The sequence below is a fragment of the Homo sapiens genome, chromosome 4 (genome assembly GCF_000001405.40).
Source record: "Homo sapiens chromosome 4, GRCh38.p14 Primary Assembly".
Lineage (NCBI taxonomy): Eukaryota > Metazoa > Chordata > Mammalia > Primates > Hominidae > Homo > Homo sapiens.
This window is the reverse complement of record NC_000004.12, coordinates 139,161,329-139,187,855: the sequence shown is the minus strand read 5'-3', so window position 1 is coordinate 139,187,855 and position 26,527 is coordinate 139,161,329. Positions and strand designations below refer to the sequence as shown.

General features: G+C 43.9%; 1 protein-coding gene, 1 long non-coding RNA gene and 1 pseudogene across 16 annotated transcripts in view, besides 8 other annotated features; 1 reads left to right on the top strand and 2 right to left on the bottom strand.

Annotated features, from left to right (window-relative positions):
* LOC105379412 (uncharacterized) overlaps positions 1–11,701 on the bottom strand; it is a 69,678-nt gene extending 57,977 nt beyond the window's left edge. The window contains exon 1 of the long non-coding RNA XR_007058273.1: positions 11,508–11,701. This is a non-coding gene — a long non-coding RNA (uncharacterized LOC105379412). The remainder of the gene's footprint in view (positions 1–11,507) is intronic.
* On the bottom strand, positions 2,110–2,415 carry RN7SL311P (RNA, 7SL, cytoplasmic 311, pseudogene; annotated as a pseudogene).
* Positions 3,504–3,613: a silencer, noted in NCBI's record as "silent region_15698". NCBI's record gives its function as "represses an Ori minimal core promoter by ATAC-STARR-seq in GM12878 lymphoblastoid cells {active_cell/tissue: GM12878}" and the evidence as "EXISTENCE:reporter gene assay evidence [ECO:0000049][PMID:35858748]".
* Positions 9,177–9,301: a transcriptional cis regulatory region, noted in NCBI's record as "candidate enhancer chr4.2840 targeted for multiplex CRISPR interference". NCBI's record gives its function as "positively regulates MGARP gene expression with high confidence in K562 cells {active_cell/tissue: K562}" and the evidence as "EXISTENCE:mutant phenotype evidence [ECO:0000015][PMID:30612741]".
* Positions 9,668–10,047: a silencer, noted in NCBI's record as "silent region_15697". NCBI's record gives its function as "represses an Ori minimal core promoter by ATAC-STARR-seq in GM12878 lymphoblastoid cells {active_cell/tissue: GM12878}" and the evidence as "EXISTENCE:reporter gene assay evidence [ECO:0000049][PMID:35858748]".
* The window catches only part of ELF2 (E74 like ETS transcription factor 2), a 120,696-nt gene continuing 104,109 nt past the window's right edge, over positions 9,941–26,527 (top strand). For 7 of the 15 annotated variants that reach the window (XM_005262805.3, NM_201999.3, NM_001371336.1 and 4 more), the window contains exon 1: positions 10,638–10,889. The gene's annotated coding sequence lies outside the window, so the exon portion shown is untranslated. Of the gene's footprint in view, positions 10,378–10,637; positions 10,890–11,289; positions 11,352–18,999; positions 19,090–19,813; positions 19,955–26,527 lie in introns of those variants that run through there. The other 8 variants (XM_047449740.1, XM_047449741.1, XM_047449737.1 and 5 more) reach the window with 4 other exon arrangements.
* Positions 10,058–11,017: a silencer, noted in NCBI's record as "silent region_15696". NCBI's record gives its function as "represses an Ori minimal core promoter by ATAC-STARR-seq in GM12878 lymphoblastoid cells {active_cell/tissue: GM12878}" and the evidence as "EXISTENCE:reporter gene assay evidence [ECO:0000049][PMID:35858748]".
* Positions 11,618–11,667: an enhancer, noted in NCBI's record as "active region_21919". NCBI's record gives its function as "activates an Ori minimal core promoter by ATAC-STARR-seq in GM12878 lymphoblastoid cells {active_cell/tissue: GM12878}" and the evidence as "EXISTENCE:reporter gene assay evidence [ECO:0000049][PMID:35858748]".
* Positions 23,303–23,934: an enhancer, noted in NCBI's record as "H3K27ac-H3K4me1 hESC enhancer chr4:140085076-140085707 (GRCh37/hg19 assembly coordinates)". NCBI's record gives its function as "activates a minimal SCP1, AML or CMV promoter by ChIP-STARR-seq in naive H9 embryonic stem cells {active_cell/tissue: H9 hESC(naive)}" and the evidence as "EXISTENCE:reporter gene assay evidence [ECO:0000049][PMID:30033119]".
* Positions 23,935–24,567: an enhancer, noted in NCBI's record as "H3K27ac-H3K4me1 hESC enhancer chr4:140084443-140085075 (GRCh37/hg19 assembly coordinates)". NCBI's record gives its function as "activates a minimal SCP1, AML or CMV promoter by ChIP-STARR-seq in naive H9 embryonic stem cells {active_cell/tissue: H9 hESC(naive)}" and the evidence as "EXISTENCE:reporter gene assay evidence [ECO:0000049][PMID:30033119]".
* Positions 25,212–25,829: an enhancer, noted in NCBI's record as "H3K27ac-H3K4me1 hESC enhancer chr4:140083181-140083798 (GRCh37/hg19 assembly coordinates)". NCBI's record gives its function as "activates a minimal SCP1, AML or CMV promoter by ChIP-STARR-seq in naive H9 embryonic stem cells {active_cell/tissue: H9 hESC(naive)}" and the evidence as "EXISTENCE:reporter gene assay evidence [ECO:0000049][PMID:30033119]".

Sequence of the window (26,527 nt, the reverse complement as noted above, 5' to 3'; positions counted from 1 at the left end):
TAGATATTATCAATTACTATACCTATTCATTTTTTATTTTTATTTCATTTATTTTTTTGAGACAGAGTTTCATTCTTGTTGCCCAGGCTGGAGTGCAACAGTGTGATCTCTCGGCTCACTGCAACCTCCGCCTCCCGGGTTCAAGCGATTCTCCTGTCTCGCCCTCCCGAGTAGCTGGGATTACAGGCATGCGACATCACGCCCAGCTAATCTTTGTATTTTTAGTAGAGGCAGGGTTTCACTATGTTAGTCAGGCTGGTCTCAAATTCCTGACCTCAGGTGATCCACCTGACTCGGCCTCCCAAAGTGCTGGGATTACAGGTGTGAGCCACCACGCCCAACCTATACCTATTCATGAGCTCTTATATATTAATTTTAACCATAAACCTATTTTCATTTCCCATTTTCCTTTCTATTATGGGAGTTTCCAGTCTGTATGTGGATTTACAGTATTTTTAAACTCTCCTCTCCTCTTCCCATTTATTCCATCCTTTTCTTTCTTTCTTTCTTTTCTTTTTTTTAGATGGAGCTCTGTCACCCAGGCTGGAGTGCATGGTGCGATCTCTGCTCACTGCAGCCTCCACCTCCTGGTTCAAGCAATTCTCCTGCCTCAGCCTCCCGAGTAGCTGGGATTATAGGCGTCCACCACCATGCCCGGCTAATTTTTGTATTTTTAGTAGAGACGAGCTTTCACCATGTTGGCCAGGCTGATCTCGAACTCCTGACCTCAGGTGATCCACCTTCCTCGGCCTCCCAAAGTGCTGGAATTACAGGTGTGTGCTACTGCACCCAGCCCCTTTCCTTTCTTTCTTTTTTTTCTTTTTGAGACAGGGTCTCACTCCGTCACCCAGACTGGAGTGCAGTGGCGTGATCTTGGCTCATGACAACCTCCACCTCCCAGGCTCAAGTGATTCTCCTGCCTCACCTGGGATTACAGGTGCGTACCACTACCGCCTGGCTAATTTTTGTGTATATATATACACATATATGTGTGTGTATATATATATATATATATATTTTTTTTTTTTTTTGAGATGGAGTCTCACTCTGTCTCCAGGCTGGAGTGCAGTGGCACGATCTCGGCTCATTGCAACCTCTGCCTCCTGGGTTCAAGTGATTCTCGTGCCTCAGCCTCCCAAGTAGCTGGGATTACAGGCATCTGCACCATACCCAGCTAATTTTTTTAGTAGAGATGGGGTTTCACCATGTTAGCCAGGATGATCTCCATCTCCTGACCTCGTGATCTGCCTGCCTTGGCCTCCCAAAGTGCTGGGATTACAGGCGTGAGCCACTGTGCCTGGCCTAATTTTTGTATTTTTAGTAGAGACAGGGTTTCACCATGTTGGCCAGACTGGTCTTGAACTCCTGACCTCAAATGATCCACCCGCCTTGGCTTCCCAAAGTGTTGGTATTACAGGTGTGAGCCACTGCGCCTGGCCTTCTTTTCTATTTTAATTAGAAAATTTTTTTTGATACAGGGTCTTTCTCCGTTGGCCACGCTGGAATGCAGTGGCACGATCATGGCTCACTGCAGCCTCCACTTCCTGACTCAGGTGATTCTCTCTTCTCAGCCTTCTGAGTACCTGCAACTACAGGTGCATGCCACCACACTGGCTAATTTTTGTATTTTTTGTAGAGATGGGTTTCGCCATGTTGCCCAGGCTGGTCTCGAACTCCTAGGCAAAGCAATCCACCCACCTCAACCTTCCAAAGTACTGAGATTATAGGCGTGAGCCACCATGCCCAGCCTTCCATCCTCTACTTTCTGGTATTCACATTTTAAAATATTTGTTTATGGGAGGCCAGGTGAGGTGGCTCATGCCTGTAATCCCAGCACTTTGGGAGGCTGAGGTGGGCGGATCACTTGAGGTCAGGAGTTCATAACCAATCTGGCCAACATGGCAAAACCCCGCTTCTACTAAAAAAAAAAAAAAAAAAAAGCTGGGCGTGGTGGTATGTGCCTGTAATCCCAGCTACTCAGGAGGCTGAGGTGGGAGAATTGCTTGAATCTAAGAGGCAGAAGTTGCAGTGAGCTGAGATCATGCCACTGCACTCTAGCCTGGGTGACAGAGCAAGACTCTGTCTGAATTTAAAAAAAAAAAATTATTTATGGGGAGTTGTCTCACTATGTTGCCCAGACTGGAGAGCACTTTAGCACTGGTCATTCACAGGTGTGATCCCACTACTGATCAGCATGGGAGTTTTGACCTGCTCTGTTTCTGACCTAGGTTGGTTCACTCCTCCTTAGGTAACCTGGTGGTCCCCTGCTCCTGGGAGGTCACCATATTGATGCTGAACTTAGTGTAGACACCTCTTGGGCATAGCACACTATAGCCCAGAACTCCTGGGCATAAGCGATCCTACTCCTCAGCCTCCTGAGTAGCTGAGCTTACAGGTGGGCCTCCACCGCCTGGCTGGTATTCACATTTTAATCATGGTCCTTCTATGACCCTTTTACCCTCCATATTGATTGGTTTCTTGTCCTGGCTTTAAATTTCTCTCTCTCTCTCTTTTGCTAAGTAGTCAGTGTCACCAGCAGATATGGAAAGTCTACTCAAACTTAATGTGGCAGACAAGAAGGGAAGCAGGGAGAGCAGGATACAGAAGCCACAGGCTGGAGTAGAGGGAATTAGTTGGCATCTACTAGTGAAGGGAATGTCTGGAGAGTGGGATATAAGGAACATGGTCAGAAGCACCCAAGCACTTTGGCAGTGCCTGGCATGTTAGGCAGAACATAAAGGCCAAACACACCTGGCATGGTGGCTCATGCCTGTACTTTGGGAGGCCAAGGTGGGAAGATCACTTGAGCCCAGGAGTTCAGGATCAGCCTGGGCAACATGGCAAAACCCTGTCTCTACAAAAAATACAAAAATTAGTTGGGCATGGTGGCAGGCACCTGTGGTCCCAGCTACTTGGGAGACTGAGGTGAGAGGATCACCTGAGGCCGGGAAGCCGAGGGTGCGGTGAACTGTGATTGCACCACTGCACTGCAGCCTGGGTGACAGACAGACCCTTCTCAAGGGAAAAAAAAAAAAGCCAAACAGGTGAGTCAGAATAAGAGGTGACAGCAGCCCCCTATAAATTTGGGGGAATAGGACAAGAGGTGAAACAGAGAGCAATGCTTTTCATTCTCTATGTTTGGACATGAACAGTTGGAACAGGACTGCCCTACATGTGTCCAAAAAACACTTTAGGCTGGGTGCCATACTTCACACCTGTAATCCCAGCACTTTGGGAGGATGAGGCAGGAAGATTTTTTGAAGCCATGAGTTTGACTACCAGCCTGGGCAACGTGGCAAGATCCTGTCTCTAAAATAAATAAATACATACATACATACAAATTAGCTGGGCATGATGACCTGTAGTCTCAGCCACTCTGGAGGGTGAAGCCAGTGCACTCCAGCATGGGCAACAGAGATAGGCCCTATCTAAAAAAAAAAAAAAAAAAAAGAAAGAAAAAGAAAAGAAAATGAAAACAGTATTTTAATAATATGCTGTATTAGTGGTTAAGAGTACAGGTTCTGGAGATGGATTCAATATCCAACCCTGCCACCTACTGTATAACTTTGAACAAGTGACTTAACCTCTCTTAGTTTCAGCATCAACTATGAAATGGTGATAATACTCACAAGATGAATAAACACAGAAAACCTAGCAGTATATGAATAGAGGTCAATATTATTGTGTTACTGTCATTATTATTTACTCTTATTAAAATAATGCTACCTACAGTAGTTAGCTGACAAACAGGAAAAACCCCCAGAAAAGAAAGCAAATAAATAATGGGAAAGCCTTTTGGTTTTTCTTTTTTTTAGGGTGATCTGAAAGTGAATGGAAAGACACATTTCTATTAACTCATTTTAACTTAGAAGCATGGGAGAGTCAGGGTTAAATGCCTTTATTTATTTATTAATTTTTTTTTTTTTTTGAGACCGAGTTTCTCTCTGTCGCCCAGGCTGAAGTACAATGGCACGATCTTGGCTCACTGCAACCTCTGCCTCCCGGGTTCAAGCAATTCTCTTGCCTCAGCTGCCCGAGTAACTGGGATTACAGGCACCCGCCACCGTGCCTGGCTAATTTTTGTATTTTTAGTAGAGGCGGAGTTTCATCACGTTGGCCAGACTGGTCTCAAACTCTTGACCTCAGGTGATCCGCCTGCCTCCGCCTCCCAAAGTGCTGGGATTACAGGTGTGAGCCACTGCACCCGGCCAGTTAAATGCCTTTAAAAATTATGCGGCACAAATATGAAAGTTTGTTTCAAGTAGTTTCCCACGGAAGATATTTATATTTGTGCTTTAATGAGCTAATATAGCATTTATCCTGAATTTTATTAAGTAAACTATTCAGAAACTGTAAAGATTAATCTGATTGGCCAGGCGCGGTGACTCACGCCTGTAATCCCAGCACTTTGGGATGCCGAGGCAGGCAGATCACGAGGTCAGGAGTTCGAGACCAGCCTGGCCAACATAGTGAAACCCCGTCTCTACTAAAAATACAAAAATTATCCAGGCGTGGAGGCAGGCACCTTAATCCCAGCTACTCGGGAGACTGAGGCAGGAGAACTGCTTGAACTCAGGAGGCAGAGGTTGCAGTTAGCCGAGATTGTGCCACTGCACTCCAGCCTGGGTGACAAGAGCAAAGCTCTGTCTGGAAAAAAAAAATTAACATGATCTTAAATCACTAATAAAATGTCTTGATGTTCATTTAATTTTGACTTTTAAACTTATAATAAAGATATGAAAGTGAAATCTGCTAACAAAAGTTGGTTTTAACATAAAAAACATTAAAAATTCTAACTAGAATAAAGTGTAATTCATCTTAAACATTTCAAATATTTTAATAAAGCAATAAAATATTCTTTAAAAGTAATTAATTTGTAGACAGAATTAATAGAATTCTTCCAACTAAAGCACTATTTTAAAGAGAAGGTTGCTTTTAAAATATATCAAGAACTGAAATTATGAAATGGTTTTAAGTACTTATTTTACTAGAAAACATTACAGGATGAAGTTATAGGTGCAACTCATGAGGATTTAACTTCCTTCTATATTCAAAAGTTTATACTTTCTGCTTATTTATCTGATTGCATTTGATGGTACAAATTTCTATTTATTTTTTGGATGCTTCAAATTTCATCCTCAAAATTACTTCATTGGATTCTGGAAACTTAACCCACGCCCTCCAAATTATTTTGGGTTTGGTTATTCTAAGGCAGCCCTCTTATAACTTATTTAATATACAATGTTTAAAAGATTCTGATTTCTAAAAGGCAAAACAATACCTAAAACAAAAAGTGAGTTTGGGGGACTAGATTACTTTGCAGACCCATAGCATGGGAGAGGTATGAATAATCTTTGTATGGTGGGTTGGATATAGTTGTTCACAAATAAGATAGGTTAACAACAGAATATTGCTGTTGGATAGCTGTCCAGAACTTCTCTTTCCTTAAGGAGAGGCAAAGAAGAGATTTTTCTGGCTGTTCTTGTAAAATCTACCTAGTAGTTGTCAACCAGGGACTCTGTTGACCTGTGACGAGGGAATCTGTTTAAAGATTGGGTCAGTCACTCAAAATTCACTACTGAGTGAATGCCCTTGTGGCTGCCAGCTTCCAACATGGCCCTCAATGATCCTCATCTCCTGGTATGAATGTCCTTGTGTAGTACTCTCCCACACTGAATTAGGATCAATCTGTGTGACCAAGAGAATACAACAGAAGTGATGGTATGTGACTCCAGAAGTTAGGTCAGAAAAGGCAGCATAGCTTCCACTATATTCTCTTGGACTTGGAATGTCATAAGGGACAATTACCTCATTTAATCAAACATAACTCGTACTTCCAAGGATTTGCCTGAGAATGTGAAGTTGAAAGGTTGGGAGAGGGAAATGACTTACTGGCCACTACTCAGAATTTTGTCTTCTCTTCTGTTCCTCATGTTGATTGTCACTGCCACCCCCATACTGAGCCCTAAAGTGTCATCCTACCATTTAATATTCTGATATAAAAGCAGGAAAATCTCTTCCTTTGGTTAGTCTATTATACTGAAGGCAGAATGAAATTTTATTTGTTTTATTTTGTTTATTTATTTTTGAGACAGGATCTCACTCTGTCACCCAGGCTGCAGTGGGGTGGTGAGAGCACAGCACGCTGCAACCTCAAACTCCTGGGCTCATGTGATCCTTCTGCCTCAGCCTCCCCAGTAGCTGGGACTACATATCCATACCACCACACCTGGCTAACTTTATTTTATTTTCTTTGTAGAGATGGGGTCTCAAACTATGTGATCCTCCTGCCCATGCTGGTCTTGAACTTCTGGGCTCAATGATCCTCCCACCTTGGCCTCTCAAAGTGCTGGGATTACAGATGTAGCCACAGCACCCAGCCAAGGATGAAATAATTTTAAAAAAAATCACTTTCCTATATATTGAAGAAAACAAAGGGAGAAATAACACAGAGAAAAGAAGTATAAAAGCATTATACCTAATATGCATATAATCATTTATATTTAGTATATAAATATATGTATATGTATATACATGCACAGAAAAAGGCCTAGAAGCTTAAAGGCTAAATTTTCATTTATGGTTATCTGTGGAAAAGTAGAGGTAGGGGATGGCTGCGTAAGTGTGAAGGGTAAGTGAGAAGTGGGAAGGGAAATGGAGAGGGAAGGTGAACTTGGGTTTTAAAAAGTTTATTTTGAATTATTTGAAAATTGATGATGAGAATGTATTAATGAATCATTGTATAATTAAAAAATAAACTATAATAAAAATAATTAAATAAAATATAAAAATAATTAAAAAATAAACTATATAACATAAAAAACTATATAACATAAAAAACAGCAAAAGCAATCCAGTTACAACAGAGATTTCCTATTCCATGATCATTAGCTTGCTACTAGGACTACTGGTCACACTAGACTTTTCCTTCTGACCCCTGTTCTCTAGAATGCTTTACTGTAAACCAGGGGTGTCCAATCTTTTGGCTTTCCAGGGCCACACTGGAAGAATTATTATCTTGGGCCACACATTAAATACACTAACACTAATGATAGCTGATGAGCTTAAAAAAAAAATCGCAAAAAAGTATTTTAAGAAAGTTTACAAATTTGTGTTGGGCTGCATTCAAAGCGGTCCAGGGCCGCATGCAGCCTGCAGGCCCTGGGTTGGACAAGCTTGCTGTAAAATTTCTGGGTTCCTTACTCCGCTGGCCTCCATAAGGGATGTGTTTAAGAACCATAGCCAAAGAGCTGCCTGAGACACACCAAGTTAGGCACCTTGCAGGCCAATATGAAGGAAGCAGATTGCTCTTTCTGCTGTTGTTTCAGTCAGCTATCACAACACTAATTCCAGGAACCAACTACTCCAAAACACTATTACTCCAAAACGCTATTACTCCAAAACACGGCTTGAAACAACAATCCTTTATTCTCTAGGTTGCTGACCCCAAGCTGGGACTGGCTTCAGACCTGCTTCATATTTCTTTGACCAGCAAACTAGCCAGGTATGTTCTTCACATTGTGAAAAACAAGAGTGCCAGAGAGGGAAGGAGAAACATGAAATACCTCTTGAGGCCAGGCTCAGAACTGTCACACTCACTTCTGCCTATCTTCCTTTGACCAAAAGCAAATGGACTGATCTAAGCTCAACATGAACAGGATGGAGAAACATCCTATCTCTACTGAGAGGAACTACAAAGCCGTATTTCAAATGGCATGCATGCATGGAGTAGTGAAAAATTGGGAACAATAATGTTATCTACCACTGTTATCCACCTGGGACTTTCCAGCTTACTGCCAATCGGCAGTGGGAGAGAATTTCTTCTCAACGTGGCTGACAACAGAAATTATGTGACTTGGCAGGTGATATCTGTCCCTAACAACAGGAATCAGTCTTTGTCTTTGCCGGCTCCTTAGTATGCTATGTTATGTTATGAAGATGCAATATTATTGATTATTAATTAATTCCTTACAAATATCAAATTGGGCAATGGTTCCCATAAGTGATAAGTTATTTACAAGAAGTGAGATAAAAAGACTCCCTTAGAAAGGGTGCTCTGTTTGCAGAATCCTGTTTATTGTGTATTAAAGATTTGAATGTTACCAAATTGTTACAAATTCTTTAGTTCAAAAGGGTGTCAACAGTCCCATGATTTAGAACTCAGGAATCCAGAAAACTTTGTCAAGAGTTAAGAGGATCTTTGATTAACAGTCACGGTCTCCAGGTTTCCTCTGTGTTCAAGAGTAAAAATTTCTTAAATAAGAATAAGAGCCCTCGGACTTGCTTTTTTTTGAGACGGAGTTTCGCTCTCGTTGCCCAGGCTAGAGTGCAATGGTGCGATCTGGGCTCACTGCAACCTCCGCCTCTCGGGTTCAAGCGATTCTCCTGCCTCAGCCTCCCGAGTAGCTGGAATTACAGGCACACACCACCACACCCGGCTAATTTTTTGTATTTTTAGTAGAGACGGGGTTTCACCGTGTTAGCCAGGATGGTCTTGAACTTCTGACCTCAGGTGATCCGCCCGCCTCGGCCTTCTAGAGTGCTGGGATTACAGGAGTGAGCCACCGCGCCCGGCCTTTTTTTTTTTTTTTTTTTTTTTTTGAGAAGGAGTCTTGCTCTGTCGCCCAGGCTGGAGTGTAGTGTTGCGATCTCGGCTCACTGCAACCTCTACCTCCGGGGTTCAAGCGATTCTCCTGCCTCCCGAGGAGCTGGGACTACAGGCGTGTGCCACCACGCCCAGCTAATTTTTGTATTTTTAGTGGAGACGGGGTTTCACCATGTTAGGCAGGCTGGTCTCGAACTCCTGACCTCAGGCAATCCACCCTCCAGGGCCTCCCAAAGTGCTGGGATTACAGGCGTGAGCCACTGCGCCCGGCCCAGAGTTGCTTTTTAAGAAAGGAAGAGAAGACTCACCCCCAAGAAAATAGAGGCAACAGCAGTATTAACAAAAGAAAGAGATCATTACATTCTTAGGCTCTTCAGGGATTTAAATCTGGAGCCTCCTGCAGCTTTCTGACATTTGAGCCTTACTCTAGGGTGATTTCCACGGTTCCCACGTCCCTTTCAAGAGAACAGCTATCACTTATATTCCTCAGTGTTTCTTCTTTGCTCCAGACTGGTTGTGAAGCCGTAAAAAGGGTAACGCTGGAGCCCAGAAATCAGCTGGTGAATACCGCGCCAGGTGCCAGGTCCATCGCGGCGAGGCTGCAGGAGCCCTGGAGGGGAGCAAAAGGAGCCCCGCGCGCACCGGACAGGCTGTGCTCTTTGTTAAAGAAACAAATACAGAAAACGCCGCGGCGGGGAATGGTGGTGGTGAAGAAATAGACTGAGGCGTTTGTATGCATTAACTGTGCCTACAAAGCCCATTAAAGAGACGCTCCTACACAGGGCAACCCACGGCACCGTGTCATTGGCTTTTGTGCACTTGAAGGCGCGTGAGAGTGCCCCGCTCGAAGGCTCCCCTTTGTGTGAAAGTGTGGAAACCAGAAGCGTGCAGCCACTGCTGGGTTTTCGTTTTCGAATTCGCAGGCACTTGGGCCAAAATACTCCCACACCAGAACACTCTCTCATTCTCGCACCAACAACACTCAGACTTGAGTTACTTCTCCGTTGCGGACCGCGCAAGGAGCGACAATGGCTAGGTGCGAGTGCCCGCAGCTCCCCGGGCAGCTCCAAGGGGCCGCCCGCCGCGCTCCGCAGCTGCGCGCTGGGCCCAGCCACCCGACAGCCAGCAAACGCCGGCACCAACCGCCGCGCGGCCGGGCTGTTGGGCGGGTGGTAATTTCTGGGAATGGGGCGGGGTCGCGGGTGTACTACGCCCGGCTTTTGCTAGCGGGGAGGAGGAGCTGGCGGCGCCGAGGGGCGCGAGGCTGGCGGGGCGGTGCGCCACGTGCGTCACCGGCCGGGGCGGGGCCGGCGTCGCGCTCCTGCCCGAACCCCCACCTTTCACTAAGCCAAGGCTGAGGAGTGGGAACTGGAAAGACCGGGCTAGGAGTTTTTGCAAAACCTCGCCCCCCTGTAACTGTCAGACTGCCCGACTGTGGGGCCGTCTCCGGAGAAGGGCGAGAGTCCTGAGTTGGGGATGCGGTGACGGCGGGGCCTGCGGGGGCCCTGAGTGGCGAGGGTGTGTGCGTGCGGTCCCGGCCGGCGGGGGAAAGCCGGCGGGCGCTGCAGGTGCACGCGCGGCCCCATCGGCCTCACACGCCTGCCCCGTGCGGCAGAGCCCCCTGCACCAATCCGGGGCTGGAGTGGAGAGCGAGATCGGGGAGCCCTGGGCAAGGAGCCGGACAAGTGACGAGCGTCTTTACCTGGGAAGGCGGGTTTGGGAGAAGTTGGGCGAGGAGAAGAGGGCGGGATTCAAGACAGCAAAAGAAGCAGGTTCGGCGGGCTGGTGGGGGCCCGAGGGCGGCGGGGCCCCGCGGGGTATAAATAGCCGGCCCGCGTTTGACAGGCGCTGCGGTGACTGGCGGTGCCGCCCCCGCCCCCCCGCCGCGTGGGGAGGGGAGGAGCACTCTGAGCTGGCGGGGAGGGGGAGGCGGACTCCAGTGTCCTGGTGGAGGCGGCAGGAGGCCGAGGGGGAGGAGCCGAGGCGGGGGGTGGAGGGAGGGGGCCGGGAGCGGAGCGGGGCGGGGGCAACCATTGCTCCCAGCGCCAAGCTCTGTGTCGCCGCCGTCGCCTAGGCGGTTGGGGGTCGGTGGGGCGGCGCGGGCGGGGGTCGCTGCGCGGGGCGGCGAGCCTCTGTTTTGTCTCCTTCTCTCCCTGTGGAGCGGCTCGGGCTGCTGGGGAGGCCCCGGCTCCCTCCGGACGCTCGGCCAACGGCGGCGGCTAGTCCGCGGCCCTGCTGAGAGGGAAAAGGACGCCGCGGTCTTCCCAGGCGTCGCGGAGAGCAGGTAAGAGCGCGGGCAGCCGAGGCTGGTGAGAGGGAGCGCGAAGGGCGCGGCGATAAAGCCTGGCTGTCCCGACTGCCGCCGCCTCCCTCCGCGCCCCCGCCCCGCGCTTGTGTTGTTTGCTTCGGGGTTTGCGGAGGGGTTTTCCGGCGGCTGCGGCGGTGACACCGGCCGGGGGCTGGGGGAAGGGGGCTGAGTGTCCCCAGGCAACGGTCGCGGAGCGGGACTTGGAGAAAGGGGAAGGCGCGCTGCGCGCCTGCCCGCGGGGAGCGCGGGGCGCGGGGCAGGGCTGAGGGAAGAGGTTACAGACCCCGGCGGGGGGGATGGGCCGAGCGCAGCTGGTCTCTCCGTGTTTACATCTCTGCGCGAGTCACCTCTGCCGAGAAGCGGACTGAACTGACCCGCCTCATCCCGCGGGGAGGCCAGGGCGGGGGTCCGGCTCCGGAGGAAGCGCGTCCTGGGAGGGTTTGTGTAGGGCGGGAGTCTGCGGCCGGCGCCGGGGCTGGGCGGCGAGCTCGGGGCGGGACCTGGGAGGCTCCGGCCGCTCTGGGTGGCGGGCAGGCGGGGGGGGGCGCTGGACACCAGTTTCCTTCCCTGTCGTGCCTTATCGCCGCCGCTTACCTTTCCTTCCCGGCGCTGCTAGCTTGCACGACAGGTTGTACTCGGCAGTTCTTTTATTCTCGCTCTCCACGCCGGCACCGTGCTGCCATCTCCCCCTATTCCCCGGGAGGTAGGGAGGCTTTGCTCGGATCGGAATCTGTTTCTTAAGCAAAACAAAAACGGGCTCGTAACAGGCACGTCCAGTGACCGCCTTCTGGATCCTCGCGAAGCTGGTCCTCAGGGACCGCGCGACGGGATGGTCTAGGGGCGCGGAAGGAGGACAGGGAGGGCTCTGCCAGGGCTGGATGCTGACTCTACCCCAGGAGCTTTGTGATCAGGGTAGCCGAGCCCTCTCTTCTGCTCCATTTGGGCATTTTTATTCCATGTCCATAAAGGACTCAAAAAATATTCCGTGACACCAAGAATAATCCAGATCGCACAGTTTCTAATCTTTTTCCCTCTGCCAGCATCCTGGATGGACTCTTTCTAGGAGGCAGATTCGCTGCAGAATAGCCTTTAAGTTTAGTACTTCATTAAATGAGGAAGAGGGGGACACGTCATTGTAAAACTGTTAAAAATTCCCCCCTTTCTTGTGTTCATGAACATTTACTTCAGCTTAATGGTTTAAATTGTAATCCGGTGATGAGAGAATAGTAATCGTGTGTTTGATAATCAGATTTGTTTTCCTTTTTATCTGTGATTCTCTATCCTGAAGTAAATTATGCACTTTCTTTGGTGCCAGAATCACGGAAGGATGTATGCTTTACTAAGAAAGGATTGGATATTTGTGTTTCAGAGTTTCTTCAAAAGGTAGAATGACTTATATAGGACTGGAAACCATTAAATTACATTTAAGGGAATTTAGGAATAATAAAACTTTTTATAGAGCATTACAGTTTACAGAGTACATTCATGTAAATATTATTGAGACGATATCTAGTAGTTAAACACATGAAATAGAAAATTGGAATATCCTGGGCATTTGAAGTTTGAATATTTATGTCAACCTATTTTTAAGTTTAGTGATTTAACTCATTGGATTTATCATTGCCTTTCATTTCAGACATAAATACTCATTTACAAAATAGTCAGCTTGAGTATGGTTGGAAAGAATTTGTAACTTTGGGATTTTTCTGTCCTAAGTAAACAGATTGGTACCTGTGGCCTGTAGGGTCTGCTAATGTTAGTGGCTTTACCTGCTCATGTTGTATACCATTTTTGGAGGAGTAACAGCTTCACGATGATATAATTCACATACTAGTCAGTTCAGTTTAAAGTGTACAGTTTGGTGGGTTTATTAATTTTTTAAAAAATTACTCCATTTTGCAGGTGAACAATTCAGTGGTTTTTACTACAATTGTCCATCGGTATCTGTTGGGGATTTGTTCTAGGGCCTTCCTCAGACACCAGAATCTATGGATGCTCAGGTCCCTAAAATAAAATGGCATAGTTGCTGGGTGCAGTGGCTTGTGCCTGTAATCCCAGTTATTCAGGAGGCTGAGGTGGGAGGATCTCTTGAGGCCAGAGTTTGGACACCAACCTGGGTGACAGAGCAAAATCCTGTCTCCTAGGAAAAATGAATAAAACTGACATAGTATTTGCATATAAACTCTGCATATTCTCTTGTATGCTTTAAATCATCTCCACATCACTCATACTACCTAATACAATGTGGATGCTATGTAAATAGTTGTTATACTGTGTATTGTTTAGGGAATAATGACCAGAAAAAAGTCTGTACATGTTCATTTACAGACATAATTTTTTTTTGAGTAGTTTCTGTACCTCATTGATTGAATCCATGTATTCAGAACTCATGGATATGGAGGGCCGACTGTATATTCAGAGTTGTGCAGCCATCACTATACTCAATTTTACAGCATTTTAATCATCCCCCAAAAGAGCCCCATATCCATTAACAGTCGCTTTTCATTTTCCCTCAGCACTCCCAGTCCTATGCAACCACTGATCGACTTTCTATCATTATAGATTAGACTGTTGTGGACATTTTATGTAAATGAAACCATAAATGCGGTCTTTTGTGACTGGCTTCTTTCGTTTAGCATAATGCTTTCAAAGTATATCCATGTTGTAATATGTGTCAGTACTTCATTTCTTTTTTTTTTAAAATCTATTTTCTTTCTTTCTTTTTTTTTTTTTTTTAAGATGGAGTCTCGCTCTGTCGCCTAGGCTGGAGTGCAGTGGTGTGATCTGGCTCACTGCAACCTCTGCCACCCGGTTCAAGCGATTCTCCTGCCACAGGCGCATGCCACAACACCTGGCTAATTTTTTTTTTTTTTTTGTATTTTTAGTAGAGATGGGGTTTCACCGTGTTAGCCAGGATGGTCTCGATCTCCTGACCTCGTGATCCGCCCGCCTTGGCCTCCCAAAGTGCTGGGATTACAGGGGTGAGCCACCGCGTCCGGCTAATCTATTTTCTTTTTTATAGAGATGGGGTTTCACCATATTACCCAGGGTAGTCTTGAACTCCTGGGCTTGAGCAATCCTCTCTCTTTGGCCTCTCAAAGTGCTGGGATTTCAGGCTTGAGCCACTGCACCTGATCCTTTTTAATTAAAAAAATTTTTTATAGTCTTTTTTTTTTTTTTTTTTTGAGACGGAGTCTCGCTGTGTTGCCCAGGCTGGAGTGCAGTGGCACGATCTCAGCTCATTGCAACCTCCGCCTCTCGGGTTCAAGCGATTCTCTTGCCTCAGCCTCCCAAGTAGCTGGGACTACGGGCGCGTGCCACCACGCCCGGCTAATTTTTTGTATTTTTAGTAGAGATGGGATTTCACTGTGTTAGCCAGGATGGTCTTGATCTCCTGACCTCATGATCCGCCTGCCTCGGCCTCCCAAAGTGCTGGGATTACAGGTGTGAGCCACTGCACCCACCCTGTAATCATTTTTTTTATTGATGAGTAATATTCTATTTATGGACATATTACATTTTATTTATCTGTGCATCAGTTGATGGACATTTAAGTTTCTATTTTTTTGGGCTATTATGCTGCTATGAATATTCATGTTTTTGTGTAGATGTGTTGTCATTTCTTTGGGTATGTACACTTTTTAATAAATTAGCTTTTGACTTACCTGATACCAAAAAAATTATCCATTTTGAGTATATAATTCAATAATTTTTAGTAAATATATAGATCGTGAAACTATCTATCACCTTGAGCTAGTTTTCGAACATTTCCATTGCCTCCAAAATTCCCTCCAGCCTGTTTGCAGTTAACCCTTATTCCCACCCCCAGCCTCAGGCAATCACTGATTGGTTTTGTCTTAATCCATTTGCTTTTACTGGATATTTTGTATAAGTGGAATTGTACAATATGTAGTCTTTTGTATCTGGCTTCTTTCACTTAGCATAATGTTTTTGGGATTCATTCATATTGTAGCGTTTATCAGTTTTTTGTCCCTTTTTACTTTGGAATAGTATTTCTTTGTATAGGTATATGATAGCCCCCCCCCCCCCCCCCCCCCCCGTTATCTGTGTGGGATACATTCCAAGACCCCCAGTGGATGCCTGAAATCTCAGGTAGTATTGAACCATATATTATTTTTTTCTGTATCTGTATACCTAGGATAAAGTTTAACTTGTTAATCAGACATAATAAGAGATTAAAAACAATACAATAGAATAGTTACAACAATATGCTATTCACAATTTCATAGAAGATTTCTTACTGTAGGTGTTAGCAAACAGCATAAAGTTTTTTTCTTGTTAAATTGAGAACTTTCACTTTTTCACTTAAAATAAGTATTTTACAGCTTCTTTTTGGCATATCCAGTTGTCATCCTCATTACTCTTGAGTGTTTGAGCCATTGTTAAGTAAAATAAGGGTTACTAGCACTAAGATACTAGTTGATCTGATAGCTGAGATGGCCACTAAGTGACTAATGAGCAGGTAGTGTAGACAGCGTGAATATGGTGGATAAAGGGATGATTCATGGCCGAGGCAGAGGGGCATGGTATGAGGTTTCATCATGCTGCTCAGAATGGCACTCAATTTAAAACGTAGATTATTTCTGAAATTTTCCATTTATCATTTTCAGACCATGTTTGACTGTGGGTAACTGAAACTGCAAAGTAAAGCTGTAGGTAAGGGGAGATTACTGTAACACACTTTAGCTGTTGACCAGTATATATAGGTGTTTCGATTATTTCCAGTTGTTGACTCTTTAAATAATACTCAAACATTTGAGTACAAGTCTTTATGTGGACATATGGTTTTGTTTCTCTTGGTTAGCTATCTAGGAGTAGAATTACAGCATCATACGTTTAGCTTTTTAGGACACTGCCAAACTGTTTTCCCAAAGTGGCCATAACGTCTTATATTGCTAACAGCAATGTTTGAGAGTTCTAGTTTTCTTCACATCTTTGCCAACACTTATTATTGTATTTCTTTTTTAATTATAGCTGTTCTAATGGATATGAATTTGTTTGTTTTTGAGTCACTCTGTCGCCCAGGCTGGAGTGCAGTAGTGCAATCTCAGCTCACTGCAACCTCTCTCTCCTGGGTTCAAGCAATTCTTCTGCCTCAGCCTCCCGAGTAGCTGGGATTACAGCCGAGCACAACTATGCCCAGCTGATTTTTTGTCTTTTTAGTGGAGACGGGGTTTCACCATGTTGCCCAGGCTGGTCTCGAATCCTGAGCTCAGGCAGTCCTCCTGCCTTGGCCTCCCAAAGTGCTAGGATTACAGGCGTGAGCCACCATGCCCGGCCTGATTTTGTTAATTTGTTGTGTTTTTTTTTTTGTTTTTTTCTCTGTGTACTGTTTAGTGGAGTCATTGTGATTTTAATTTTAATTTTCCTTATGACTCATAGTATTGAGCATCTTTTCATGTATCTTTTTTCTTAACCCATTTATGCCCGAAGTTGCAATTTTTTTTTGTGAAAAAGCAGACCTTGGCGATGACCTTGAGCAGTAGGATATTAATAATTCCCACAAGCTTAGCATTCCAAAAATGGAACACTTGGCATAAATGGGCTGGCTGGAGTGCAGTGGTGCGACCAGAGCTCACTGTAGCCTTGACCTCCTGGGCTCAAGCAGTCCCCCTACCTCAGCCTCCTGAGTAGTTGGGAATGGGGAATGCAGGTGCATACCACCATGCCCGGTTAATTTTTTATTTTTATTTTTTGTAGCGATGGGGGTCTCACTGCATTGCCCAGGCTACTCTTGAACCCCTGGGCTCAAGCAATCCTCCTGCGTTGGCCTGCCAAAGTGCTGGGATTACAAGCATGAGCCACCGTGTCTGACCCATCTTTTTTGATGACATCACTATTCAGATCTTTTGCTCCTTTTAAAATTGGGTTGTTTGGGCTGGGTGCGGTGGCTCATGCCTGTAACCCCAGCACTTTGGGAGGCTGAGGTGGGTGGATCACCTGAGGTCAGGAGTTCGAGACCAGCCTGGTCAGCATGGTAAAACCCTGTCTCTACTAAAAATACAAAAATTAGCCGGAGGTGGTGGCGCATGCCTGTAATCTCAGCTACTCAGAAGGCTGAGGTAGGAGAACTGCATAAACCTGGGAGGCGGAGGTTGCAGTGAGCTGAGATTGCAACACTGCACTGCAGCCTGGGCAACAGAGCAAGGCTCTGTCTCAAAAAAATATAATATAATATAATTAATATAATATAATATAATATAATGTAATGTAATATAATTGGGTTGTTTGACTTATTGAGTTATAAGAAGTTTTTTTTTTTAGAAATATATTCTGGATGTAAGTTTTTTAGTAGATACATGATCTGCCAATATTTCTTTACAGTCTGTTGCTGGTCTTTTCATTGCTTAAAAAATTGGTGGCTGGGCGTGGTGGCTCACACCTGTAATCCCAGCACTTTGGGACACTGAGGCTGGTGGATCATGAGGTCAGGCATTCGAGACCAGCCTGGCCAACATGGTGAAACCCCATCTCTACTAAAAATACAAAAATTAGCCGGGTGTGGTGGTGTGCACCTGTAGCCCCAGCTACTTAGGAGGCTGAGACAGAGAATCGCTTGAACCCGGGAGGCAGAGATTGCAGTGAGCCGAGATCGCACCACTGCACTCCAGCCTGGGCAACAGAGCGAGACTCTGTCTCAAAAAAAAAAAAAAAAAAAAAAAGGCGATTAAGATCTTTTAAAGTGTAATTAGTTTAAATTTTGATGAAGTGTGGTTTCTAAATTTTTTCTTTTATAGATTATACTTTTGTTGTCTTATGTAAGAACTCTGCCTAATCCAAGATCTTGAGATTTTTCTGCTTTCTAGAAGTTTTATAGTTTTAACTCTAACAGTTAGATTTTATCATCTATTTTGAATTAATTTCTGTGTATGGTGAGAAATAAGGTTCTAAATTCATCTTTTACATACAGATGGTTCTGTCAACCTAAGTAAAAGACAGTCCCTCTGAAAGAAAGCAGTATTTATTCAGGAATGGGCATTATAATGGGAATATGCATACCGTAGTAAACTATGTGCATATTCAGGGAGGTAAAGGAAGACATAGCTTTTTTTTTTTTTTTTTTTAAGACAAGAGTCTCGCTCTGTCGCGCAGGCTGGAGTGCAGTGGCGAGATCTCAGTTTATGGCAAGCTCCGCCTCCCGGGTTCACGCCATTCTCCTGCCTCAGCCTCCCGAGTAGCTGGGACTATAGGCGCCCGCCACCATGCCCAGCTAATTTTTTGTATTTTTAGTAGAGACAGGGTTTCACCGTGTTAGCCAGGATGGTCTCGATCTCCTGACCTCGTGATCCTCCCACCTGGGCCTCCCAAAGTGCTGGGATTACAGGCATGAGCCACCGCGCCCGGCCAAGACAGATTTTTAAAGGAAAAATGAGGAAGATTACATCATTGTTTTAAATCAATTATGTTTGGCTATAAAGATCAGTGACAAGAGTGATGCCAGTCTGAGGTTGGACATGAAGTTACTGGGCAGATGTCCTTGCAGAAGTATTTTTTTGTGTAAGGTTGCAGTTGCCTTTGTGCAGGGTTGTGGCCTTTATGAGTTTTTTTGTGATAGTTTTTTTTTTTTTTTTTTTTAAATGTAGTCCCGCTCTGTAGCCCAGGTTGGAGTGCAGTGGTGCGATCTCGGCTTGCCGCAACCTCTGCCTCCCGGGTTCAAGTGATTCTCCTGCCTCAACTTTCCACGTACCTGGGACTACAGGCCTGCGCCACCATGCCTGGCTAATTTTTGTATTTTTAGTAGGAATGGGGTTTCACCATTTTGGCCAGGTTGGTCTTAAACTCCTGACCTCAAGTGATCTGCCTGCCCTGGCCTCCCAAAGTGCTGGGATTACAAGCGTGATCTGCCTGTCTCGGCCTCCCAAAGTGCTGGGATTACTGGCGTGAGCCACCATGCCCGGGCAATAGTTATTTTTTTTTAATCAGGTATTCATGCATGAGAACCCTCCTTTCATGGCCTTCCCTGGCTCCATTTGTCAGGGCTTTTAACACAAATGACTCAATTTTAATTCTAACAACTTTCACTTTTCCCCCTTTTGATCAAAATCTTTCTTTGGACCCAGGCACAGTGGCTCATGCCTGTAATCCTGGCGCTTTGGGAGGCAGAGGCAGGAGGATTGCTTGAGCCCAGGAGTTTGAGACCCACCTGGGCAACATGGTGAGACCCTGTCTCTAAAAAAACAAATAAAACAAAAGGGATCTTTCTTTGGAAGCATCACTGATCAATCATCTTGTAGTTAGGTTTTAATTATCTTTAGGTGCCAGGATGGACCTGTCCTGGGTTGTTGGTATGGTCCCATGTTGGAGGGAGTGCTTGTCAAACTAGGAGTCAGTGTCAGGACCCTTTCAGTCACATTTGAGCACACAAGGGAAGTTTGGAGGGAGTGATTCTCAGGCTAAGTCTGCCGGGAATCCATTATTAAGATCAGTTTTTGTCTGTTCCTTAAATGTAGGCTATCATCTCAGGGTTTAGGGCCAGCCCAGTATAATTCTGTTGGGTCAGTATAATTCTGTACTACTACAGAAATGTAACAAATAACATGTACAAAGTTTAAAAAGGAAAATACAAAGTAAAATTAATAGTAATATAATACCAGTTTACATAATGGTTTTGAGCCATGAAGCTAGACCTAAAGGCAGTCAGTTGAAGAAACCAAGTGACCATGGAGAACTAGATGAGACCTGTTGTAACCATGTGATCTGTTTTCTTATTTTGCGTATGAGTCTCAACTTCCTCAAAGGAATTTATCCAGGTAAATCATGTAGTATTAGTAATAGCACAGACATTTCTTTACTTAACCAATAGCTAATGCAGAGCATTGTTATCATTCGGCATTCCATAACTGGGTTGAATTAAAGCAGAGTGTGAATAATTTTTTTAGGGATGTTGCCAGAGTCACCCACTAGGTGGACTGAAGGATCTCTTAGGTCAAGTTCTGTCAAGTTACCAGCAGAAGCTACTGATTGTGAAATTTCAGTTACAACATTATCTTGCCAAGTGAAAAAGCTACGCCTTAAGAGGGGTAAGAGTCTCCCCTTGTTCAATTATCTTGGGAAAACCTGTCTACAGTGCGGAACCATCGACTTCTCATCCTGGTTTGCAGTTTGAATGTCTCTGGTTAAGGCATTGGGCAGTTTGGTGAACTTTTCTGTGTGGCTCAGACTTCGAGTACCAGACTTGTCCCTTAAAATTCATCGAGTTTCAGCTTATAGGGCTTCAGGAACAGAGCAATTTCTGTTTTAATAATTCTGTGGAAGAAAGTTGGATTGGAGGAACCTAGAAGAATTTAGGATCTAGGCCAGTTTGCAGGTAGATAATAAAAACTCAAATACAGTGTACAGGGCTACAGTCTAATAATAGATACAGTAGTTTTTCTTTAGAAGCATAACTTTTTATAGTCATCCCAGTTTCTACCAATCAGAATAAGACAAATTTGTTTATAAAATAGTTTTATTAGTTTTTTGTCTGATTATTTACATAAATGCAGCAAGAATAGCTGTTGACCACAAAGAAATCTCAGATTTATAAACCCTTCAAGACTAGGAAGCCAAACCAAGGGAGACATTAGATTTCACCTACAGCCTTAAGGTTCCTGGGCTGGCCAAGAAGTGACAGATTATATTCTCTCACTGTAGGAATGGGAACACCTGAACCCAGACATTGTGTGCACATTCTTAAATAAGATATTCCAGTCAAAGTCTTGGTAATATAACTAACGTTTCTAATTGTATCCTGTTATAAAGAGAGCAAACTTTTATGAACTTATGCCAACAACCCTATATTATCATAAAAATAAGAATACTCATGAATAGTTTCTGAATTTTACTTAACCAATATCTAATGCAGAGGGATCAAGTAGGGAGAAAAAGTAAATGCTTTCACTTTTGTTGAGATAAGTATTATCTTACCAAATTACTGTAAATGATTGATACTTTAAGAGAAAAATTTTCTTAAATCTGGAAAACTGAACATTTAAGTAAAGAACCAACAGTGTTTCAAATAAAAGTCATAAAAACATCATTGATTATTTAATCTCTTATTTTATTTTATTTTTTTGAGACGGAGTCTCACACTCTCGCCCAGGCTGGAGTGCAGTGGCACCATCTCGGCTCACTGCAAGCTCTGCCTCCTGGGTTCACGCCATTCTCCTGCCTCAGCCTCCTGAGTAGCTGGGATTACAGGTGCCCACCACCACGCCCAGCTAATTTTTTGTATTTTTAGTAGAGATGGGGTTTCACTATGTTAGCCAGGATGGTCTCGATCTCCTGACCTTGTGATCCGCCCACCTCGGCCTCCCAAAGTACTGGGATTACAGGCGTGAGCCACCGTGCCCGGCCTAATCTCATATTTTGTGTTGCTTAATCTTAATTAGCAGTTTTTCTAACTAATCAGTTTCTTCATTAGAATTCTGGAAAATTTTTAGTCCATTGAGCTTAAAGTTATTAGAAATGTATATTTAAGCGTACAAATCTTTTCCATGAACCTGATTGCAGATATTTTTATTTTTATTTATTTTTAAATTTTACTTATTTATTTTTTGAGACAGTTTGACTCTGTCACCCAGGCTGGAGTACAGTGGCCTGATGTCGGCTTACTGCAACCTCCACTTCCTGGGTTCAAGTGATTCTTCTGTCTCAGCTTCCCAAGCAGCTGGGATTACAGGTGCACACTACTACCTTGGCTAATTTTTGTATTTTTAGTAGAGACTAAAGACTAAAATTAGTAAAGACCAGAGACTAAAGACTAAAATTTTTTATTTTTAGTAGCCATATTGGCCAGGCTGGTCTCGAACACCTGACCTCAGGTGATCCGCCCGTCTCGGCCTTCCAAAGTGCTGGGATTACAGGCGTGAGCCACCATGCCCAGCCTGTTTTTAGAGAAGAATCAAAACTGTGAATGATGAAGATTTAGAATAGCCATGGTTAAAAATCTGATGAAGTTTATTATAATCAGCAATTGACAAAGAAATTCAGTTATTTTTGTGGCATGTAATATATACTAGAATTATGACTGATGACATATTAGATTTCTAAGAGTTTTATATACTTTTGGAATATTCATATTAATATCATATCAATAAATGTAACTGCAAGAAGATCTAGAATCACTTATTTGTCAGTGCTTTCCATATAATTCAGCATATCAAGCCTGATTTAGTTCAGTGTCTCTGTTTCAGAAATCTTTGAGAAGGTCCAGTGCCTTGTGGAACATCCTAAAGTTAGTTTGAGGTCAAGAAAGACTTATTTATTTTTTATTTTTTTAAGACGGAGTGTTGCTCTGTTGCCCAGGCTGGAGTGCAGTGGTGCGATCTCAGCTTACTGTAACCTCTGCCTCTGGGATTCAAGTGGTTCTCCTGCCTCAGCCTCCCGGGTAGCTGGGATTACAGGCGTGAGCCGTTGTGCCTGGCCTAATTTTGTATTTTAAGTAGAGATGGGGTTTCTCCATGTTGGTCAGGTTGGTCTCGAACTCTGACCTCAGGTGATCCATCCACCTCGGCCTCCCAGAGTGCTGGGATTACAGGCATGAGCCACCGCTCCAAGCCAAAAGACTTAATTTAGAACTTGATCCTGGGGAAGTTTACCAAAGATGTCAAAAGGTTTAAAACACCTGATCAAAACAGAATCATAGGTCATTGTGAAATAATAGTCATTAATTTAACCACAGTAATAATCAAAAGATTTCAAAAGCAATACAGAAAGTTACATGGATGGGAAACAAACAAACAAAAACCCCAAACCCTTAACCCTTCTAAAGCCCAGTTTTCCTAAGTAACCAAAAACCCTAATAAAGACAGCATGAAATACAGGGATTATCTTCATAAGATGCAGTCTTTGTTTCTTGGGCCAGTTAACAAAAAGGCAAAGAAAACTTCCTGCAATGAGATTGCTTCTGCTAATGGGAAACCCATTTAGATAATCTGGAAGTTGGACCTGATGAAAAATTACTTGACACAGGAAGAGTGTGTGTCCAAGGTTATGAGCGTACACCATATTATAGAGAAATGTAAACAGGAAAACTAGTACCTTGAGCAGGAAATACATGGCTCTTAGTAAAATCATGGGAAATTCTGGGTTAAGTGGAGCAATTCAGACACATCAGTAAAAGCCAATACAGAACTGCTGTAAACTGTAAAGCTGCAGTTCAGAAGATGTTTAAAAACTTAAAGAAACAGATTTCTGAAATAAACATAAAAACCTCTTGCAATTTTTACTAAGAACAGATCAAGACTTCAAGAAAAGCTTGTTCTAACACAGGGGACCAAAATTTTAGATATTTGTTGTTGTTTTGAGCCAGGGTCTCATTCTGTCACCTAGGCTAGAGTGCAGTGGCATAGTCTTGGCTCACGGCAATCTCTACTTCCCAGGTTCAAGTGATTCTCCTGACTGAGCCTCCAGAGTAGCTGGGACTACAGGTGCATGCCACCACGCCCACCTAATTTTTGTATTTTTTAGTAGAGATGGTGTTTCTCCATGTTGTCCAGGCTGGTCTCGAACTCCTGACCTCAGGTGATCCACCCGCCTCCGCCTCCCAAAGTGCTGGGACTACAGGCGTGAGCCACCGTGCCTGACCAAAGCTAAACTTTTAGAAAGACTTGTAACTAATTTTCTTTTATTTATAGCCAACTTAATCGTATGAAAAAATCTTCCTTCCTTCCTCCCTCCCTTCCTTCTTTTCTTCCTTCCTTCTCTATCTCTTTCCCTCCCTCCCTCCTCCCCGCTTTCTCTTTCTTTTCATCTCCCTCTCTTTCTTTCTTTCTTTTCCTTCTTTCTTTCTTTCTCTCTCTTCTTTCTCTTTCTCTCTCTCCCTTCCTCCCTCTTTCTCTCTCTCCCTCTCTCCCTCCCTCTTTCTCTCTCACCCCCACTCTTTCTCTCTCACCCCTGCCTCCCTTCCTTCTCTTTCTCTTTCTCTTGCCCTTGCCCCTTTCCTTTCCTTCTTTCTTTCCTTTCCTTTCCTTTCTTTCTTTTCTCTTTCTCACCCCTCCCTCTGTCTCTCCCTCCCTCCTTCCTTCCTACTTCCTTTTTTTTTGATAGAGGGACTCATTCTGTCTCCACTGCGATCATACCTCACTGTAGGCTTAACTTGGCGGGCTCAAGTGATCCTCCCATCTCAGCCTCCTGAGTAGCTGAGACTACAGGCACATGCCAGTGTGTCTGGCTAGTTTTTGTATTTTTTGTAGAGACGGGGTTTCATTGTGTTGAACAGGCTGGTCTTGAACTCCTGGGCTCAAGTGGTCTGGCTGCTTCGGCCTCCCAAAGTGCTGGGATTACAGCCATGAGCCTCTGTGTCTGGCCCACACACAAAATTTCTTTAATAAATTCATCCTTCACAAACTTTCCACAGCTTAATCAGATCTTCCACAACATTCTTGGTCCTTTAGCTTTGTCCTATACTTTCTCTTTCTTAAATAACCTGTCATTTTACTTTAGGACACAGTTTACTTTCTTTTTTCCTTATCATTGTGAAAAGTTATTCTCCTTTTAACCCTCTTTGCCAAAATTACATCCTTATAACTTTCTTTATATTTCTCTCTCCTGCTTACTGAGTCCTTTTTATATTATTTCCTTCCTAAATATTACTTTTCAAAATAACCTTAAATAACCTCTGAATTTACAGTTATTCTTTTTTCTCAATGAATAATACATTCTTATGCTTTTCTCATAATTTTTCTCATCAAAGCCACATGATGTTTTTTGTTACACTTCATATACAGAATTATATACATTAGTTAGAATTTCTAACTTAGTAATCTTGATTTTTAATGAAAACCTAGGAAGCAAGAAATTTTGAACTATCATATATCAGTATTTTATATATTTTTTTATTTTTTGAGTTAGGGTCTCTCACTGTTGCCCAGCCTAGAGTGCAGTGGCATGATCATAGCGTACTATAACTTGAACTCTGGGGTCAAGGGATCCTCCTGTCTTAGCCCCTGGAGTAGCTGGGATTACAGGAGCATGCTACCATGCCTGGCTAGTGTAAAATTTTTTTTGTAGAGACAGAGTCTTGCCGTGTTGCTCAGGCTGGTCTTGGACTCCTGGCCTTAAGTAATCCTCCTGTTTCAGCCTTTGAAAGTGCTGGGATTGCAGGTGTGAGCCACTATGCCTAGACTTTTAAATATTTTTTACAAACATTCTCCGTAACATAATTTTGTGTGTATTAATAGACTGAAATATATTCAGTCTTTCTATAAGATTTAACAAGGCAAGAACAAATGTATTTATGTTCAGCAATTGGTGTTTCAGTATTTTTCCTTATTTGGAAACGATCTGGACATTTAATGAGTATTTATCACTTAATTTAACATAATTTTAATATTTCAAATTATGTGAAAAGTTCATTTATAAACATTTATTCCATTTGTATTTACATTATTTATTTATTTATTTATTTCTGAGACGGAGTCTTGCTTTGTTGCCCAGGCTGGAATGCAGTGGCACCATTTTGGCTCACTGCAACCTCCACTTCCCGGGTTCAAGCAGTTCTCCTTCCTCAACCTCCGGAGTAGCTGGGATTACAGGCACCCATCACCACACCAGCTATTTTTTGTATGTTTAGTAGAGACGGGGTTTCACCGTGTTGGCCAGGCTGGTCTCAAACTGGCTGGTCTTGAACTCCTGACCTTGTGATCTGCCCTCCTCGGCCTCCCAAAGTGCTGGGATTTCAGGCGTGAGCCACCGTGCCTGGCCCATAATTTGTTATTTTTTTAATTTTTATTATTTTTTTGAGACAGAGTTTTGCTCTTATTGCCCAGGCTGGAGTGCAATGGCACGATCTCAGCTCACCACAGGATTCCAGGCATGCTCCACCATGCCCAGCTAATTTTGTTTTTGAGACGGAGTCTCGCTCTGTCGCCCCAGCTAGAGTGCAGTGGCGCAATCTCAGCTCACTGCAACCTCCGCCTCCCGGGTTCAAGCGATTCTCCTGCCTCAGCCTCTTGAGTAGCTGGGACTACAGGCGTCCACCACCACACCCAGCTAATTTATTGTAATTTTAGTAGAGTTAGGGTTTCACCGTGTTAGCCAGGATGATCTCGATCTCCTGACCTTGTGATCCACCCGTCTTGGCCTCCCAAAGTGCTGGGATTACACTGCGCCTGGCCTAATTTTGTATTTTTAGTAGAGACGGGGTTTCTCCATGTTGGGCAGGCTGGTCTTGAACTCCTGACCTCAGGTGATTCGCCCGTCTCAGCCTCCCAAAGTGCTGGGTTTACAGGCCTGAGCCACCGCGCCCGGCCTACTCAGAGTTTTTTTTTTTTTTTTTTTTTTTTTTTAAACAGTTTTACGTAGACTATTTGTGAGAACTGAGATATTAGACAAAGCTAGTCGTCATTCAGGTTACTTTCCTGTTCGCCCTTTTCATAGCCTAAGAATATCAGATGTTAACCTAAAAAAGAACCTTAAAGTTAAATGTATGGAGATTTTGTTGATAACTCAGAAGATACAGCTGTTTTCATTAAATCAACACTATTAAATTAGTCTTATCAAAGAGCTTCACAAATAAAAGACTATTCTGTTTTTAGGCTGGTTTTATAGTTTTATAACCTGTGTCAATCATGACACCCTAAAACATTTAGCAGAAACAAATTCTAACTAGT